Below are 17411 nucleotides of genomic sequence, written 5' to 3'. Positions count from 1 at the left end.
ATGGCAACAAAAGCCAAAATTGACAAATGGGATCTAATTAAACTAAAGAGTTTCTGCATAGCAAAAGAAACTATCATCAGAGTGAGCAGGCAACCTACAGAATGCGAGAAAATTTCTGCAATCTATCCATCTGACAAAGGGCTAATATCCAGAATCTACAAAGAACTTAAATTTACAAGAAAAAAACAAACGACCCCATCAAAAAGTGGGCAAAGGATATGAACAGACACTTCTCAAAAGAAGACATTTATGCGGCCAACAAACATGAAAAAAAGCTCATCATTATTGGTCATTGGAGAAATGTAAATCAAAACCACAATGAGATACCATCTCACACCAGTTTAAATGGCAATCATTAAAAAGTCAGGAAGCAACAGATGCTGGAGAGGATGTGGAGAAATAGGAACACTTTTACACTGTTGGTGGGAGTGTACATTAGTTTAACCTTTGTGGAAGATAGTGTGGCAATTCCTCAAGGATCTAGAACCAGAAATACCATTTGACCCAGCAATCCCATTACTGGGTATATACCCAAAGGATTAGAAATCATTCTACTATAAAGACATATGCACACGTATGTTTATTACAGCATCATTCTCAATAGCAAAGACTTGGAATCAATCCAAATGTCCATCAATGATGGACTGAATTAAGAAAATGTGACACATATATGCCATGGAATACTATGCAGCCATAAAAAAGGATGAGTTCATGTCCTTTGCAGGGACATGGATGACGCTGGAAACCGTCATTCTCAGCAAACTAACACAGGAACAGAAAACCAAATATTGCATATTCTCTCACTCATCAGTGGGAATTGACCAATGAGAACACGTGGACACAGGGAAGGGAACTTTCACACATCGGGGCCTGTTGGGGTGGGGGGGCTGGGGGAGGGATAGCATTAGGAGAAATACCTAATGTAGATGATGGGTTGATGGGTGTAGCAAAGCACCATGGCACGTGTATACCTATGTAACAAACCTGCACATTCTGCACATGTATCCCAGAACTTAAAGTATAATGAAAAGAAAGATAAAACACAGGGTCAGTCTCTAGTAACTCACGATTGTGCCATATTTAAAGAATGAGTGCAGATACAAAGTATGGGGTCCTCAATCTAGAGACCTCATCATGTTAAAAATTCACATAAATTCTGCCTATTCTTACGGGAATTTCTATGTGTGATCCTAATACCTTTTAGAAAAAAAAGGTCCCATGACCAAACTGAAAATACCAGGTGTTTCTCTCTAGAGTCCTTTTGACCTCTGCCAATATACATCTATGTTCTCTGCCCCTAGTGATTTTAATTGCACATTCTCTTGAATAAACATAGTCCACATAGATGTCGCTAATGGCAACTCCAGCAAAATTGCAGGCTAATGAATTTCTAACAAAATTACTTATATTGAAAGCCTAAAACTATTTTTTAACTCTTCACTGTTCCTGGGAGCCACAGTAGATTTCCTTAGGGCCCAGGAGATGTGAGAAGAGAGGTCACTGCAGGTATGCAAATCAGGCTCCCTGTTTAAGTAAGACTAGCTCACTGCCTAGTGACCCTGCTCATGGGGCTCAGTGTCCTCACCTAAAAAACAATGCACATTTAGCAACTCCAACATCATCCTCTCTTGCCAAGAAATTATATAAATATTTGTCATCTTGATTAAGTAACTATTGACAGAGCAGGAGTATCGCCATCTTGGACAAGCACTGTCATTCTAAAGTTCACCTTGATTAAAAACCGCCTAAATCTAAAGGGCATCAGCCTAATGGCTAAGGTCAGCATGACCATAAAAAACAAATAACATCTCCAACCAAAAACACTCCAAACCCCTCCCTGACCTGAGACATGCCAGCCCTGAGATAACGTCCCCTTCGGCCAGAGAGATGTCAGCCCCAAGATAACCTCCCATCTGACCAGAGACATTCCAACCCTGCTATAAACTTCTCCCCAACATACAAACATTCCAAGCTTGTGATAAGCCCCCTACCCTGAAACTAATATATACTCTTAGTCTATAAAAGATAATGCTCCTCACCAAAATTGGCCAGGAGCCCCTCTCAGGCTTATTTCTCTAAAATAAACCCATCTTTAACTGTTAAGCTGCATTTCATGTTTCTTTCCTCTTTCTTTAACTCTTACAACTATAATTTATTTCACTGAATCACTGTACAACTACTGTGCCCCTGAACATTATCTTAATAAAGTTGAAGAATCATATACAGGCAAATTTGGTATCATCCTGTATGCTACCTAATTCAACTAAATGCTCATCATGGCCAGGCACGGTGGCTCACGCCTATAATCCCAGCACTTTGGGAGGCTGAGGCGGGTGGATCACGAGGTCAGGAGATTGAGACCATCCTGGCTAACACGGTGAAATCCCGTCTCTACTAAAAATACAAAAACTTAGCTGGGCATGGTGGCGGGTGCCTGTAGTCCCAGCTACTCGGGAGGCTGAGGCAGGAGAATGGCATGAACCTGGGAGGCAGAGTTTGCAGTGAGCCGAGGTCGCGCCACTGCACTCCAGCCTGGGCGACAGAGCAAGACTCCGTCTCAAAAAAGAAATGCTCATCATTTGCAAAAATTCTGATCGCTAAATTTGCTTTCAGGCTTAGTTTGGAGGTCAAATAAGATTTTTCTCCTTTAGAATGAGTTTATATATAATAAGCTGAAAACACACAGTAGAATAAATTCTACTCCAAATTTCTAAAGTTCTCAAAATAATACCCAGGTCATCTTCTGTACTCTAAAGAGATGGGTCCAAAACAAGAAACTGACTAATCAAAATTTTAAAACTCTACAATTTAAGTCCTCTGAACAGCTCATGGCATCTGAGAGCAGAAGTAGAGCTGGCAGTCACATGGTCCAAGTCCATCTCTTCCTTTGGAAAATAGACCAGGGAAGATGAGGCAGCTCACCCACAGTCATACACTGGCCAAGTCCAGAGAGACAGCAAGGTAGGGCTATGCTCCCCTCCTAGGTGACACCCAATGAGACCAATGTGCCAGCTTGCTGTTCTTGAAATCTTTAAACTACTCCTCATTCACTTCTTTTTTTTTTTTTTTCTTTTGAGATGGAGTCTCGCTCTGTTGCCAGGCTGGAGTGCAGTGGTGCAATCTTGGCTTACTGCAACCTCCATCTCCCAGGTTCAAGCAATTCTCCTGCCTCAGTCTCCCGAGTATCTGGGACTATAGGCGTGCGCCACCACGCCCAGCTAATTTTCGTATTTTTAGTAGAGATGGGGTTTCACTACGTTGGCCAGGATGGTCTCGATCTCTTGACCTCGTGATCCGCCTGCCTCGGTCATTCACTTATTATTAAATGATAGTTTTACTTATCTCTTCAGAAGCTATGTCTATGTAATTGTAAGACATCTGCTTTTTATAGTTGATGCAGAAAAAATATAGTCAAATCTCCTAAGCAGTCTTAGCCACTGGCTGAGAACGGCTGCCGAGAGACTCAGCCAGAGTAATGTGGAAGTTGCATTTTCTGCCTGGAGGCTAAGGGATTATCCACTAAGCAAGCCTACAACCTGGGGGAAAAAATGTAAAAAAAAGGGCACATCTTGTGGAAGTGTTGGCACACTAACCTGAGTAGTTAGGTCTGTGGTAATTGTGAGGTGGTTTTCTGAAAAGGAAACAAAATGATTCACTAAAAGGCATGACACAGTATGGGATGGTGCCAAGTATCATGTCACAGAAAGTGAAAATGTAACAGATCAAAGAAGGCTCCACTCCAAAGTGGAGAAATTGCAGGAAAAAGGCTCTTGCTTCCACCCTGTGTGGCTCTGACCTCATTTTGTGCTTTTAACAACCACAGGCCAACCCAATTCTAAAACTGTGCACGCAACGAAGTCCTGATGCAAAAAAACAAAAACAGAAAAGCAAAACACCTCCTGGCTAAGAGGAAAGAGTGGAGAATACAAAAGGGGTGGCAAGAAGAGAAGCATCTACCTGCCCGTCTGCAGCATTCTGAGACATGACAGCTGGGTCCCTGGGAAAACAGAGTATTCCAGATATAAGTCCTGGCTTAGCTTATCCCTGTCACACACAACCCTCCACCTCATCTAGCTTGCTCTTAAAAAACAAAGTGGAGTACTGAGATGATGGTCTGAGGCTTAGGGCCTGTCTCATTTCCAGAGACAGACTTTCCATCTCTTCCTGCCCCACGGTGCACGGGGGCTACATCAGCACTGGGAGGCGGTGGGGAGAGGTGGAAGGCAGGGGCGGCAGGGTAACTGAAGGGACGAGAGAGCTGCACTGGCTTTTTTTTGGGGGTTTTTTTTTTTTGAGACAGGGTCTCACTATGTTGCCCAGGCTGGAATGCAGTGGCTAGTCACAGGTGAAATCCCACTACTGAACAGTGCAGGAGTTTTGACCTGCTCCGTTTCTGACCTGGGCCAGTTCACTCCTCCTTAGGCAACCTGGTGGTCCCCTGCTTTTGGTGGTAGTGGGGGGAATCCCCATATTGATGCAGATACCCAATTGGCATAGCACACTATAGCCCAGAACTCTCTAGCTCAAGCAATTGCACTGTTTAAAAAGCCCCACATGGCCAGGGTGATTTTAACGTCTCCTCCTACCCGGTAAGAAACACTGTTCCCACTCACTGGTAGAGCTCTTGGGTCCAGCTGTACTTGATATGATATGTAGGTCAGGTGGGAAGTAGCCTCCCAGGCCCAGCCCCTGAGTATCTGTTAACCAACAGTTCCAACACTGCCAAGCTCAGATTGAACACACACTGTCAGTTATCCTTCAACTCTCTAAAGGGACCAGTGGTTTGCTTAAATAGAAAACAAAAGGCTTTTGCTTTTGAGGCAGCATTAGCATAATGACATTTAAAAAGAAAGGAAGAGGCCTGGCAAGGTGGCTCATGCCTGTAATCCCAGCACTTTGGGAGGCCTAGGTGGCCGGATCACCCAAGGTCAGGAGTTTGAGACCAGCCTGGGCATCATGGTGAAACCTCATCTCTACAAAAAATACAAAAAAAAAAAAAAAAAAATTAGCTGGGTGTGGTGGTGGGCGCCTGTAATCCCAGCTACGCCGGAGGCTGAGGCAGGAGAATCGTTTGAACTCAGGAGGTGGAGGTTGCAATGAGCTGAGATCGTGCCACTGCACTCCAGCCTGGGCTACAGAATGATACTCTGTCTCAATAAGTAAATAAATAAATAAATATTAAAACTAAAAAAATAAAAAAGGAAGAAAGAACACATACCTGAAGGAAGCGATTATTGCTGTAACTTCATCATCTGGATAAAACTGTGTAATTGCATGATGTGCCCCAAGCAATTCCTTCCCATCTTTCCACCAAGAAATTGTGGTGTCCTGGTATATATTAGGTACACTGATTGAGCAATTAAATTTGACACCTTTATGTTCAGAAAGTATTATGTGTCCAACTGTGTGTTTGAAGGCAAGAGGCGGTAGGGGCTTTGATTCGACAGAGGTCACCTGGGGAATGGCTACGTTTCCTGTATGTGGTCTTCCAGGCTGGGTTGGTGAAAACATCAAGGCAGGCTGGTACCCACTGGCGTGAGGAAGGGATAACAGCGGTGTGTGGTCAGTTTGCAGGCTCCCTGGAAAAGGTCCCGGGAATAGCGGGTAAGGCTTGGCTTCTTCCCTTGCCTCAGTGATAGCTGTAAAACAGAACATCCAAATTTTAGCCTTTTAAATAAGAAGAGTTTCCCAAGTAGGTTCCCAACTTCTTAGGCCAAGAAGAGAGAGCACTGGGGTGTCCTCTGTGCCCCAGGAAAAGATAAGCAGAATTCATTAACACACACATCTGGACATATTCTTATTCACCAGTTCATTCGTTTGTAAACTCGCCTCTGGAAGAGTCCTGAAGAAATGTAACCACCCCCACCAAAAATAAAAATTTTCTTATTACTGACTCATTCCAAGTCCTTCATGCCCAACTCAGCAGTATAAGAAGAAGGTGATGACACAGCAGGGCTCAAGGTCACTTTTCTTGGCCAGGCGCGGTGGCTCACACCTGTAATCTTGGCACTTTGGGAGGTCGAGACAGGAGGATCACCTGAGGTCAGGAGTTTGAGACAAGCCTGGCCAACATGGCAAAAACCTGTCTCTACTAAAAATACAAAAATTAGCTGGGCATGGTGGCACATTCCCGTAATCCCAGCTACTCAGGAGGTTGAAGCAGGAGAACAGCTTGAACCTGGGAGGCGGAGGTTACAGTGAGCCAAGGTAGCACCACAGCACTCCAGCCTGGGTGACAGAGAGAGACCCTGTCTCAAAATAAATAACTTTTCTTACTGTCTGCTCTGTCAGAGACTATGCTGCAAATTTGGCTGATAGTCTTTAAAAAGCTGATTGAGGTTCGAAAAAAAAAAACCACCCCAAAAATTAGCCAGATGTGTTGGCATGCATCTGTAGTCCCAGCTATTTGGGGGGCTGAGGAAGGAGGATCGCTTGAGCCCAGGAGATCAAGGCTGTGGTGAGCCAAGATTGTGCCACTGCACTCCAGCCTGGGTGACAGAGTGAGACCCTGTCTCAAAAAAAAAAAAAAAAAAAAAAAAAAAGCTGCTCATGGCCACAAAGAGATGAGTTTACAATTTTTGTGCCTTAACAACAAAAAAAGTGTTCTTAAGTTACCAGCTATAGAATACTGAAGCTTCCAGGAAAATGCTTGCTTGCTGGAATAAACCTGGAAATGTTTTTATTTCATCTGGTCCACAAGTATTTTAGATGGTTTCTGAGCAAGGGAAGGCTCATAATAGCTGTACTTTTAGCTTTCTGAGTGGCATTTTTGGACACAGATTCTACACTGGTTGTTATCTATTCAAATACGTTGGGAGGGAGTGAGTGAGACAGGTGGGTGAGAGAGATATAGGCCTAGCAGTCTACATTATGGGTTGGTGACTGGGGGTACACAGTGGGGGCTCCATCCTTGCTCAAGGGCTGGCCTCCTGCCATGCTCAGGACATCATGCCCTCCTGGGCTCCTGAGTGTGTGTGTGCAGGGAGTAGGGTGTTCTTTGCTCAGAGTTGTGCCCGATTTAGCAAATAACACAGGATGCCCAGTTAAGCTTGAATTTCAGATGAACAACAAATAATTGTTTTTTAAACAAACAGGGCCTTCTTGCTCTGTCACCCAGGCTGGAGAGCAGTGGTACAGTAACTCACTGCAACTTCAATCTCCTAGGCTCAAGCGATCCTCCTACCTCAGCCTCCCGAGTAGGTTGTACTATAGGCTCGTGCTACCATGTCCAGCTAGTTTAAAATTTTTTCTTGTAGGGAGGGAGTCTGGCTATGTATGTGCCCAGGCTGGAATTTTTTAAATTTAAGTATTCAGTTAAGTATTTAATTGGCTAATGGGAGATATAAGTAGGAAATCGTGGGGCAGAAGGGAGGGGATCTGGGAATTTTTCCTCTAGGTTCCTCTCTGCCAAGCCACTCTGGACAGCACATATGCCTCAACTGAAGGGCATACCCCTGTCTGGGAGCCCTTGCCATGCAGCTCCCTCTCCCATTCCAGCAACTGCTCCCTCCCAGGCCCCTTTGATGTTGGGGGCCAACTCTCATGGCTGTTGCCTTTGGGAACTGCCTCCTTAGTGAGTCAGGATCAATGCCAGATAGAAGAGAAGAGATTTTCCTACAAGGATACAGGAAGACTTTTCCTTATCCTGAGGTCTTGGTGAGTGTGGGAGTGTAGGGCCTTCTGTGTGCTTTAGGGGAGGGCTATGTGGGTCAGCTGTGGGCTGGCCTGGAGCCCAGCTGTCCAGACAGATGAATGTGCCATCATGGGAGTGTTCACTTATGCTAGGGAGTGAAGATCAGGATGACAACAGACAGGGACCATTGCCTCTCCAGTCACTCACAGCCCACATGCCAGGCAAACCTTCACAAGGGTGGACCTATGCTCTTGGTAGGAGGAGGGGGCTCCCCTTCCTCTGATGTGTGGATGCTTTCTGCAGCAATGCATGTTCTGGCTGTTTGTCTCATACCTGCAGAGCTCCCTCAAGGGTGCTCTACTTACTCATGTAGGCTTTGTTTTTGTTTGCTTTCTGAGATGGAGTCTCGCTCTGTCACCAGGCTGGAGTGGAGTGCAGTGGCGCAATCTCAGTTCTCTGCAACCTCTGCCTCCCAGGTTCAAGTGATTTTCCTGCCTCAGCCTCCTGAGTAGCTGGGACTACAGGTGCGCGCCACCATGCCCGGCTAATCTGTGTATTTTTAGTAGAGACGGGGTTTCACCATGTTAGCCAGGATGGTCTTCATCTCTTGACCTTGTGATCCACCTGCCTCGGCCTCCCAAAGTGCTGGGATTACAGGCGTGAGCCACCACACTTGGCCCTTTATTCATGTACTTTGAAGCCTTGACAATTCACCTTTGCCACTTGGGTGGGCACACTCATCTGTGGTTCTTCCTATTCACTGAGCTACAGAGGACTCAGGAGTTAGGGGTTTAATCCAAATCACTTTTTTCCCCCATTTAAATATAGGTCCCTTTCTTAGAAGGCAAAAATGGGAAGTGGGAGAAGCAAATTATACCTTCATTGGTTTAATTTATTTAAGAATATTTTAAATTTTTAATTAGGAACTTAACAAATTTGTTGTGAAAAAATTCAAATATTTATTGAAGCATATACAATATAAAATGAAAGTCTGGGGCTGGGCGCAGTGGCTCACGCCTGTAATCCCAGCACTTTGGGAGGCCAAGGCAGGCGGATCACGAGGTCAGGAGATCGAGACCATCCTGGCTAACACGGTGAAACCCCATCTCTACTAAAAATACAAAAAATTAGCCGGGCATGGTGGCAGACACGGGTAGTCCCAGCTACTCAGGAGGCTGAGGCAGGAGAATGGCAGAACCCGGGAGGCGGAGCTTGCAGTGAGCCGAGATCGCGCCACTGTACTCTAGCCTGGGGGACAGAGCGAGACTCTGTCTCAGAAAAAAAAAAAAATTAAAAAAAATAATAATAAAGTCTGTTTTGTAAGCCCAACCCTGCAAGATAATAACCTCTGATTACAATTTGGGGTATAATCTTCAGTTTTCCATGAGCCAAGCTGTTCACCAAACAAAGTGTTAACTTGGTTAGGGGCAAGGCCACCCACTAAAGTGACATCACTGAAGTCCGGGAGCCACGAAACCTACCCTGAAATCACTCAACACTCTAGATGGTTTAAAAGATATCTGGGCCAGGCGCGGTGGCTCACGCCTGTAATCCCAGCACTTTGGGAGGCTGAGGTGGGTGGATCACCTGAGGTCAGGAGTTCGAGACAAGCCTGGCCAACATGGTGAAACCCCGTCTCTACTAAAAATACGAAAATTTAGCCAAGCGTAGTGGTGGGTGCCTGTAATCCCAGCTACTCAGGAGGCTGAGACAGGAGAATCGCTTGAACCCGGGAGGCAGAGGTTGCAGTAAGCCAAGATCTCACCATTGCACTCCAGCCTGGGCAACAAGAGCGAAAATCCATCTCAAAAAAAAAAAAAAAAAAAAAAAAAATATATATATATATATATCTGATCTGTACAATTTGATTTACCAGAAGTTGATAGAATGATTTGATTGCCAACAGATATTTATATAGCACCTCCTGGGTTCAAGATTTGCTACGACAGTCAAATGGGATAAAGAAAGAGACTTATTTCAGGAACAGAGCCACAGTGGGTCCCAGGAGCTAAAGGGGAGATGGACATGGCTAACTGGGGGTGGGGAGGGGAGGCTGCCCATAGCATCAGGGAGGCCTTCTCTGACTAACCTCCTATAGTTAGCACCCCCAGGTTAGGTGCTAGGACCCTTTTGTAATACATCTTACGATTACTCATCCAGTTCTTTCTCCACTGCCGGACTGAAAGCTCCATGATACCTACCACCTACACTACAGCCAGTATGTAGGAGGTGCTCAAAATAGGTTTGTTGAATGAGTGAGTAAAGGATGGATCTGAGGGATGGAGAAGGTGCCTGGGGCTGCCAGGGTCAAAGGTGGTGGGAAACTGAAGAGACAGGAAGTAGCCCAACCAGTTTGGGAACAGCAATTTAGCTGAAGAGTAGAGCTACTCTGCTAGAACAAAAATGGGAGATAAACCAAAATTAAGGTGAATGTGGAGAGCCCTGAATCCCAGTCGAGGCAGGAGAAGTTCCTGGAAGGCTTCTGAGCAAGGGAGAGCAAGGCTCAGAGCTAGGCTTGATGAGGGGGATTCTGGCACCAGCAACTGGCTGAGTAGGAGGAAGAAGAGCAGGAAGTGGGAACCTTCCAGGAAGGCAGTGAAGACCTGACTACAGGGGCAGTCAGTGAAGAGTAGGAAGGATACAGGAGACCAAGAAGAGGGGGCTGACAGCAACAGCATCCTCACTACCACCAGTGTTCCACAAAGGAAAGTCAGTCTGACACCAGATATTGAGGAAAGATGCGATCCTGGCATAAAGGAGAGTTCTCAGGAGTGGACAGCTGGTGGCTCGAGGCTGCTCAGGCTCAGTTTGCTCACAGGGAAAGTGGGGATGGCAACCATGGTGCCTCATAGGGTTGCCAACGGGAATAAAGGAGTTATTACTGTCTGGATCACAGTAAGCACTCAATGTTAGCTATTATTTTAATTATTTTCTCATTTTATTATGAGTTAGTAAAAATCTTCCATGGTCTAACCCTTGAGAACTGTTGGGACTGAGGCTGGACCCCCACGTGGCTGGTGAGATTGGTGAGGCTCGTACTGCACAATTTTAGTGGGGTGGTATTGCCATTCACATCGTTGTTGGCTGTATAAATTGTTCTCTAGAGCTGTGCAATGCATAACCTCACCAGCCCTGTGTGGGGGCACTGGGTGATTATACAAAATGTGAAGAAAAAAAAGCCAAAACAAAAACCATTCCAAGGTTTTGGACCCAAGGGTTTGGGCAATGATGAATTAGAAATTATATTTTAAGTTGCTAAATTTTTCATTGTTTCTATTACTTTGGTTGTATAACGTATCTTTTCCCCCTGTTTTTCCCCCACAGAAGTGGAATACTCTCAAAATTATTTTTGGGTAGTGATTGCAGATGAATTCAGACTGAAAGGCTTACCCACATCAAAGACTTAATGCAAATGTGGTCCTTTCTACACAGCACATGGAAAAGTGGGGTGCCTCTGGTTGTAATTTGGGTGGAATTCACAAGAAATCTCCACCTTATCCCTCCCACCTTCTTCCAGGATTGCTTCCTCATGTGGACTGGATAAACAGCTGGAGTGGAATTTTAACTTCACATAAACGAGTGCTGCTAAGCTGCCTTGGATCACTAGCCTCCCACTCAGGTCCCAGAGTAGCCGCCCAGCTGCTCCAGCAGCTGCATTTACCAACTCCAGGGGCCACTCCATCCAGTCCTGGACTTGTGTGGTGCAGCACCCCTGCACTGTGCCCATGTGTTTCCAATCACCATGCAGCCCTTGACCAGAGCCCTAGCGTCCGCTTCTTAAAGTCAGGGCTTTTGTCTCCATCATCTTTCTTCAGCACCCAGTACAGGACAGGCCCAAGGGACCTGATTAGTGAATGTTTATTCACATACTGCCCATTTTTCTGTGTGAGTTTGCCCTGTTTTTCTGAACATACTTGTCTGTAACTTCCTTGAAGGCTGGAGGTGGCATCATCTGAACCCATCATGATGATTGGCATGGAGTCACATGCAGCAAACATTTACAGAATAAACGGGTGTGACGTGCAGAGGTCCTGAAGGGTGAGCAGGGAAGAGAGGTGGTCCAGGCAAGGACACTGCTGTGGCTGGAGACAGAACTTGGAGAGGCTGTCAGCATGCCTATGACACACAATTACAGTGGCTCAGACATTTAGGGACTTTGTGAATAGTCTCTTAGACTCAAAATTCGTTCATTAGGGCAAGCCAGTAAAGAATGTTATTTTCCATGTGATCAACTAGTGCATCCTACCCTCAAATCCATGAATCCTTGCTGAGCACTTGTCAAATGCAGTGTGCAAAGGCAGAAGGGCTGGTGGGCAGTGCTGCTCAGAGGTTAGCTAGCAGCTTTGCAGTCAGAGGGCTGAGGCCCACCCAGTCCCTCACCACCTCAAGGTATGGCCTCAGGAAAGCTCTATAACTTCTTTGAACTCTTGTGAGGACAAGAGGATCTCAGCAGTAGGAGCTGATAGGCATCGAGTCCACCAGCACACTCCAAAAATATTGGCTGACATGGCTGTTACTGGCTTGCATCTGAACCCTGGCCTGCTGGCCACCTAAAGTAGGAATTTCTAAAGCCAGGTCTGGGCCCTGCGGGGATAAGGGCTGAGTTTAATTAGTGATGTCTGCCTTGGACAATGCATGGGGAAGGGCAATACTAGAGTAATATAATTGCCAGCCATGAGTGAGAGGAAAAAATATACATCGGGCTTGGGATGCGAAGGGCTCTTAGCTCTAAGGCATCTCTCAATCTCTCCAGGGATGGTCTCCACCAGCCTTTCCTAACATGAGCTCCTTTGATTTTCTTGAAGCTTGGTGATCACAGCCCAAGGTGATCACCGAGGTGACTAAAGAAAGCAGCAGCAACTGAAATTGCAGGTCCCATGATAGTGGGTGGGGATGTGGCAGCAAGCAGCCTCCCTGGCCCTGGAGTCCCTCCATGCTGTGGGAAGAGGGTTGAGCAGGGCAGGTGGCAGCCCTGTGGGACTGAGGGTGCTGGCTGGTGAACCCTGTTCAGTTCCACCCCACCCCAGCTACCCCAGGATGCTGTGTGCCATCAGCCTGCTTTATGATCCCAGGCACCTGGGAAGAGAGAGGAATAGCTCCTCTACCAGAGTTACAGTAATGGCAGGAGTGAGTGCCAGCCTGTGGGACCCATTACTCCTGCTCTTTCTATTCCTTCCCCAACAATAAAATGGGCAGAAGCATCAGCTGAGCTCTCTAAAGTTCAGCCTCAAACTCAAGAGGCCCAGGCTAGGCGTGGTGGCTCCCAGCACTTTGGGAGGCCGAAGCGGGAGGATTGCTTGAGCCCAGGAGTTCAAGATCAGCCTGGGCAACAGAGTGAGACAAGTCTCTACCAAAAATAGAAATAAAAGAAAAACGAGGCCCAGAGGAGGCTGCAAAAGAGTGAGGGCTTATCTTTCAGTTCCTAGAGGTTCTTTGCTTCCCAACTCAAGCACACATGAACATATGGCACATAAATGCATGGCCAAGAGGATGCACCTTATTCCAGAGGTATGCTGTTTCCTCACCAGTCTTGCTGTCTGCTGAAGGTATTTGCTATCAAACAGCCCTACAGCCCTTCTGCAGGTGGGTTTGTGATTTAGAGAAAGGCTTTTTTTTTTTTTTTGAGATCGCGTCTTAGTCTGTCACAGCCCAGGCTGGAGTGCAGTGGTGTGATCTCAGCTCACTGCAAACCTCGCCTCCAGGGTTCAAGCAATTCTCCTGCCTCAGCCTCCTGAGTAGCAGGGACTACAGGCAGGTACCACCATGCCCAGCTAATTTTTGTATTTTTAGTAAAGACCGAGTTTCACCATGTTGGTCAGGCTGGTGTCGAACTCCTAACCTCAGGTGATCTGCCCGCCTTCACCTCCCAAAGTTCAGAGAAAGGCTTTTGCATCTGGAATCCTGTAAATGCTGGTATCCCTGTTTCCCTACCCTCTCTAGGAGAAAACGCAGAACCTAGACCAGTGCCCCCACCCCACATTCTGTGTGCACACACCAGGCTGATATTTGAATCATGTCCTGAGCAGCTGCCCTGTCACCCAGGTTAAGGACTCCCACCCCACTCCCTTTACCCCCACAGCTAGCTGAGGCCAAACATAGCACAAAAGGAAATTTTCTACTTAGTACTATTTATGCAATACCCAAAGGATTCCTGATTGATAAAGTGTAGTGGCCAGTCGCAGTGGCTCACGCCTGTAATCCCAGCACTTTGGGAGGCCGAGGCGGGCAGATCACCTGAGGTCAGGAGTTCAAGACCAGCCTGGCCAACATGGCAAAACCCTGTCTCTACTAAAAAATACAAAAAGTAGCCAGGCCTGGTGGCAGGCGCCTGTAATCCCAGCTACTCGGGAGGGTGAGGCAGGGAGAATTGCTTGAACCCGGGAGGCAGAAGTTGCAGTGAGCTGAGATCACGCCACTGCACTCCAGCGTAGGCAACACAGTGAGACTCTGTTTCGGAAAATAAATAAATAAATAAATAAAATAAAGAGTAGCAACACTTCATTAGAAGAAAAACAAACAAACAGAGTAGCAACACTTCATTAGAAGAAAAAGAAAAAAAAAAAACAACCTTCAATCAGAACTCACTTGACCTGATGGATCAGTCCTAAATTGCAAATGGTAATTATTAACTTCACTGGAGTGACCCTTGGGCCACTTGGAGAATGTTAAAGGAGGAAGAGGCGATCACGCCACCCATTTGCCCTAAGTGTAGCAAAGCCCTGCAAGAGAAAGCGGGTGGCTGGCTCTGAGTCAGTGCTGGAGAGAACAGGCCTGGCGCTTGCAGGAAGGAAAGGAAGTAAATGGCTGGGCAGTGTGTGCCCCAAGAGGTCACAGCCCAGCCACAGGAGGAGAAAAGCCCAAGTGCCAGTGAAAGCCCAGAAATGCCTGCACGGTGGAAGGAACGTGAAGTTGCCTGTAAAACACGGTGTTGGCATTGGGTTGCCAGATAAAAAACAGTACAGCCCTTTACACCTGAATTTCAGATAAGCAACCAATATGGGAACACCCCGGATTTACTTAGAGGAACAAATATAACTTAGTATCATTTAGTCAAAACCAGCTGGAGCCACAGCACTAGGGATTTCATTGTTGCCCTTCCCACAGGCTGCTTCTTGGGGCTTAGAGCAGCATGGAGAGTGGGTCTGGAGGGGCAAACAGGGACCTGGCACACCAGGAAAGCTATCCAACCTCTCTGAACCAAGGCTTGCAGCATGAAGGGGCTGAGACATCTGAGCAAAAGCACAAGGGGCTTGCTTATCAGTGGGGTGACCTTCCTACTGCCCCTGGCCCAATACATTCCTTTTGGCTCAAAAAAAAAAAAAAAAAGAAAAGAAAAAGAAAAAACATCAAAAAACAAAATGAGCAGAGGTACCTCTCTGCTTGGCCTTGAACACACATGTTAGCAGGGCAAGCCCCAAGGGCCCCAAAGGGCTTTAGGTACCCTCTCATCATCCCTTTCAGCCTGTCCCCCACTTTTTCACTGGGGCATTTGCCTTTTTCTTGGTGGTGCTTTGCAAAAGAAGCTTCCCAAACAGACTGCAATGTCCATGTCCCTACCATGGGGGGCACCAATGCAACCAGAAAAGAGCCTTCCAGAATCTGACCTCGACTTTTCACTATCTTCTTCCAACTCTCCCACTATGCTGTCAAACCCAGCGGAACATCAGAATCTTCCAGGAAATGTTTTTAAGCTTCTGATGCCCATGTCCCACCCAGGGCTTGAATTTATTGGCTCAGGGTGCAGCTTGGGCACTGGGATTTAAAAAAAAATCTCCTCTTATGATTCTAATGTGCAGCCAGGGTCAGACCCCTACTTTAGGGAATAGATTCAGTGGCACAGATCACTCTAAGGTGGGCCAGGGGGCTGCGGAAGGCCAGGGATGGGGGGCACTGAATGGCCTGGATGGAGCTCGCAAATCCTCATGCAGAGGGCCCAGGTTTGACTGCACGTGCTTTAGGAGATGAGGAGGCTGCAGGAGAGGTGGGGTGAGAACAAGAACCCTAAAGTCAGAGGGACAAGGCATAGCCCCAGCTCAGCCACGTAGAGGCCAGGTGACCTTGTGTAAGTCACCTGTCCATTCAAAACTCACTCTCCTCTTTCTGTAAAATGAGACAGTTTCCCTCCAGCCTTTGGGGCTCTGGGGTTGATTCTCCCCAAGACTCAGCTGTGGCTTTCACAAGACCCAGAAGAGATGCTGAGTCCCCAAGTTTAATTTCTCCATCATGCCACTCCCAAAACATACCCTCCAGCTCACCAGTACCTGAATTCTCTACTTCAGTACCTGTTTTCTCTCCAAGATAAGAGTGGAATATTGCACGTGAAACAATGCACAGTGTCTGGCATCCACAGACATGCAATAAATGGCAGCTATTATTTTCCTAACATGAAACATCTGATCTGTCTTGTTTCAAAGGTGCAACTAGTCATGCCTGGACTATCAATGCCAAACATATGGAACTGATTATGCTGACTCAGACCATTCAACTCTTGCAATGAAATATGAATACTGTATACAATATCATGTTTACTTAACCAAAGGTTTCCCTCTGCTTTCTCCACTGGCAGCATGCCAATTGTCACAGAAAGGCTCTGAGGCAATACTGTCTGGCCAGGGTCTCAAAGGGGCTTTCCCCTCTGGGGGTCTGGGGTTGATACTGCCGGAGGCCCAACTGTGGCTTTCATAAGACCCAGATGAGATGCTCAGTTCATGTTAACTTTTCCATCATGCCACTCCCAAAACATATACTCCAGCCTACCAGTACGTAAATTACTATTACTAAAAAGCCGATCCTTAAGGAAAAAACAATTTTCTTTTAAAATGTGACTATCTCCGGAAGACCAGACCTGTTAGCAAGAAGTTTGTTAAAGTCCTCCCTAAGTAACAGAGAACAAAGAATCCCCTCCAAAAACAGACTAGATGTACTTTTCCCTATTCTTCCCACTAAGTACACCCCAGAACACTAGATATTAAATAAGCATTTTCAAAACTCTGACTTAGAGTAGTCAAAAATCACATAGAACAGAATATAGATAGGATGGTGGTTGCCAGTGGCTAAGGGGAGAGGGAATGGGGAATTAGTGTTTAATGGTTACAGAGTTTCAGTTTTACAGGATGAAAATGAATGGTGGCCACGACTGCACAACATTATGAATATATTTAATTCCACTGAGCTCTACACTTACAAATGGTTAAGATGGTAAATTATATGTTATGTGTCTTTTGGCATTTTTTTTTTTTTTTAAGACAGAGTCTCACTCTGTCACCAGGCTGGAGTGTAGTCGCACGATCTCGACTCACTGCAACCTCCACCTCCCAGGTTTAAGCGATTCTCCTGCCTCAGCCTCCGGAGTAGCTGGGACTACAGGCGCACGCTACCACGCCCAGCTAATTTTTGTATTTTTAGTAGAGACGGGGTTTCACCATGTTGGCCAGGATGGTCTCCATCTCTTGACCTTGTGATCCGCCCACCTCGGCCTCCCAAAGTGCTGGGATTACAGGCGTCGGCCACTGCGCCTGGCCTCGTCTTTTAGCATAATTTTAAAAAACAAGACAAAACTCTGAAAGGTAGAGAGAAGCAGGCAGACTGGCTAGGAACCTCAGGACTCAAGAACAAATCGGTTTCCTTTTGCCCCATATGTCCTAGACTAGGAGCTAAAGACAAGGAAAGGGGCAGCCCAGCCAGACAGAAAACTTTTAGACAATAAACTGCTCTACTCCAGGCAAGCAACCCAAAACACATCACGGCCCCGTCCCCATCCACACCAGCAAAAGTCAAG

The 17411-nt window shown here is 46.4% G+C and overlaps 1 protein-coding gene and 1 pseudogene across 1 annotated transcript in view; both read right to left on the bottom strand.

Moving 5' to 3' along the window:
• MERTK (MER proto-oncogene, tyrosine kinase) overlaps window positions 1-17411 on the bottom strand; it is a 130955-nt gene that overhangs the window by 94803 nt on the left and 18741 nt on the right. Inside the window, exon 2 of the mRNA NM_006343.3 lies at window positions 5219-5639. Within this exon, the coding sequence (NP_006334.2) occupies window positions 5219-5639 (421 nt within the window). The remainder of the gene's footprint in view (window positions 1-5218; window positions 5640-17411) is intronic.
• On the bottom strand, window positions 4292-4584 carry RN7SL297P (RNA, 7SL, cytoplasmic 297, pseudogene; annotated as a pseudogene).

This window comes from Homo sapiens, chromosome 2 (genome assembly GCF_000001405.40).
Source record: "Homo sapiens chromosome 2, GRCh38.p14 Primary Assembly".
NCBI classification, from domain to species: Eukaryota; Metazoa; Chordata; class Mammalia; order Primates; family Hominidae; genus Homo; species Homo sapiens.
Note: the sequence above shows the minus strand (reverse complement) of the source record. Positions and strands in the feature narration are given on the sequence as shown.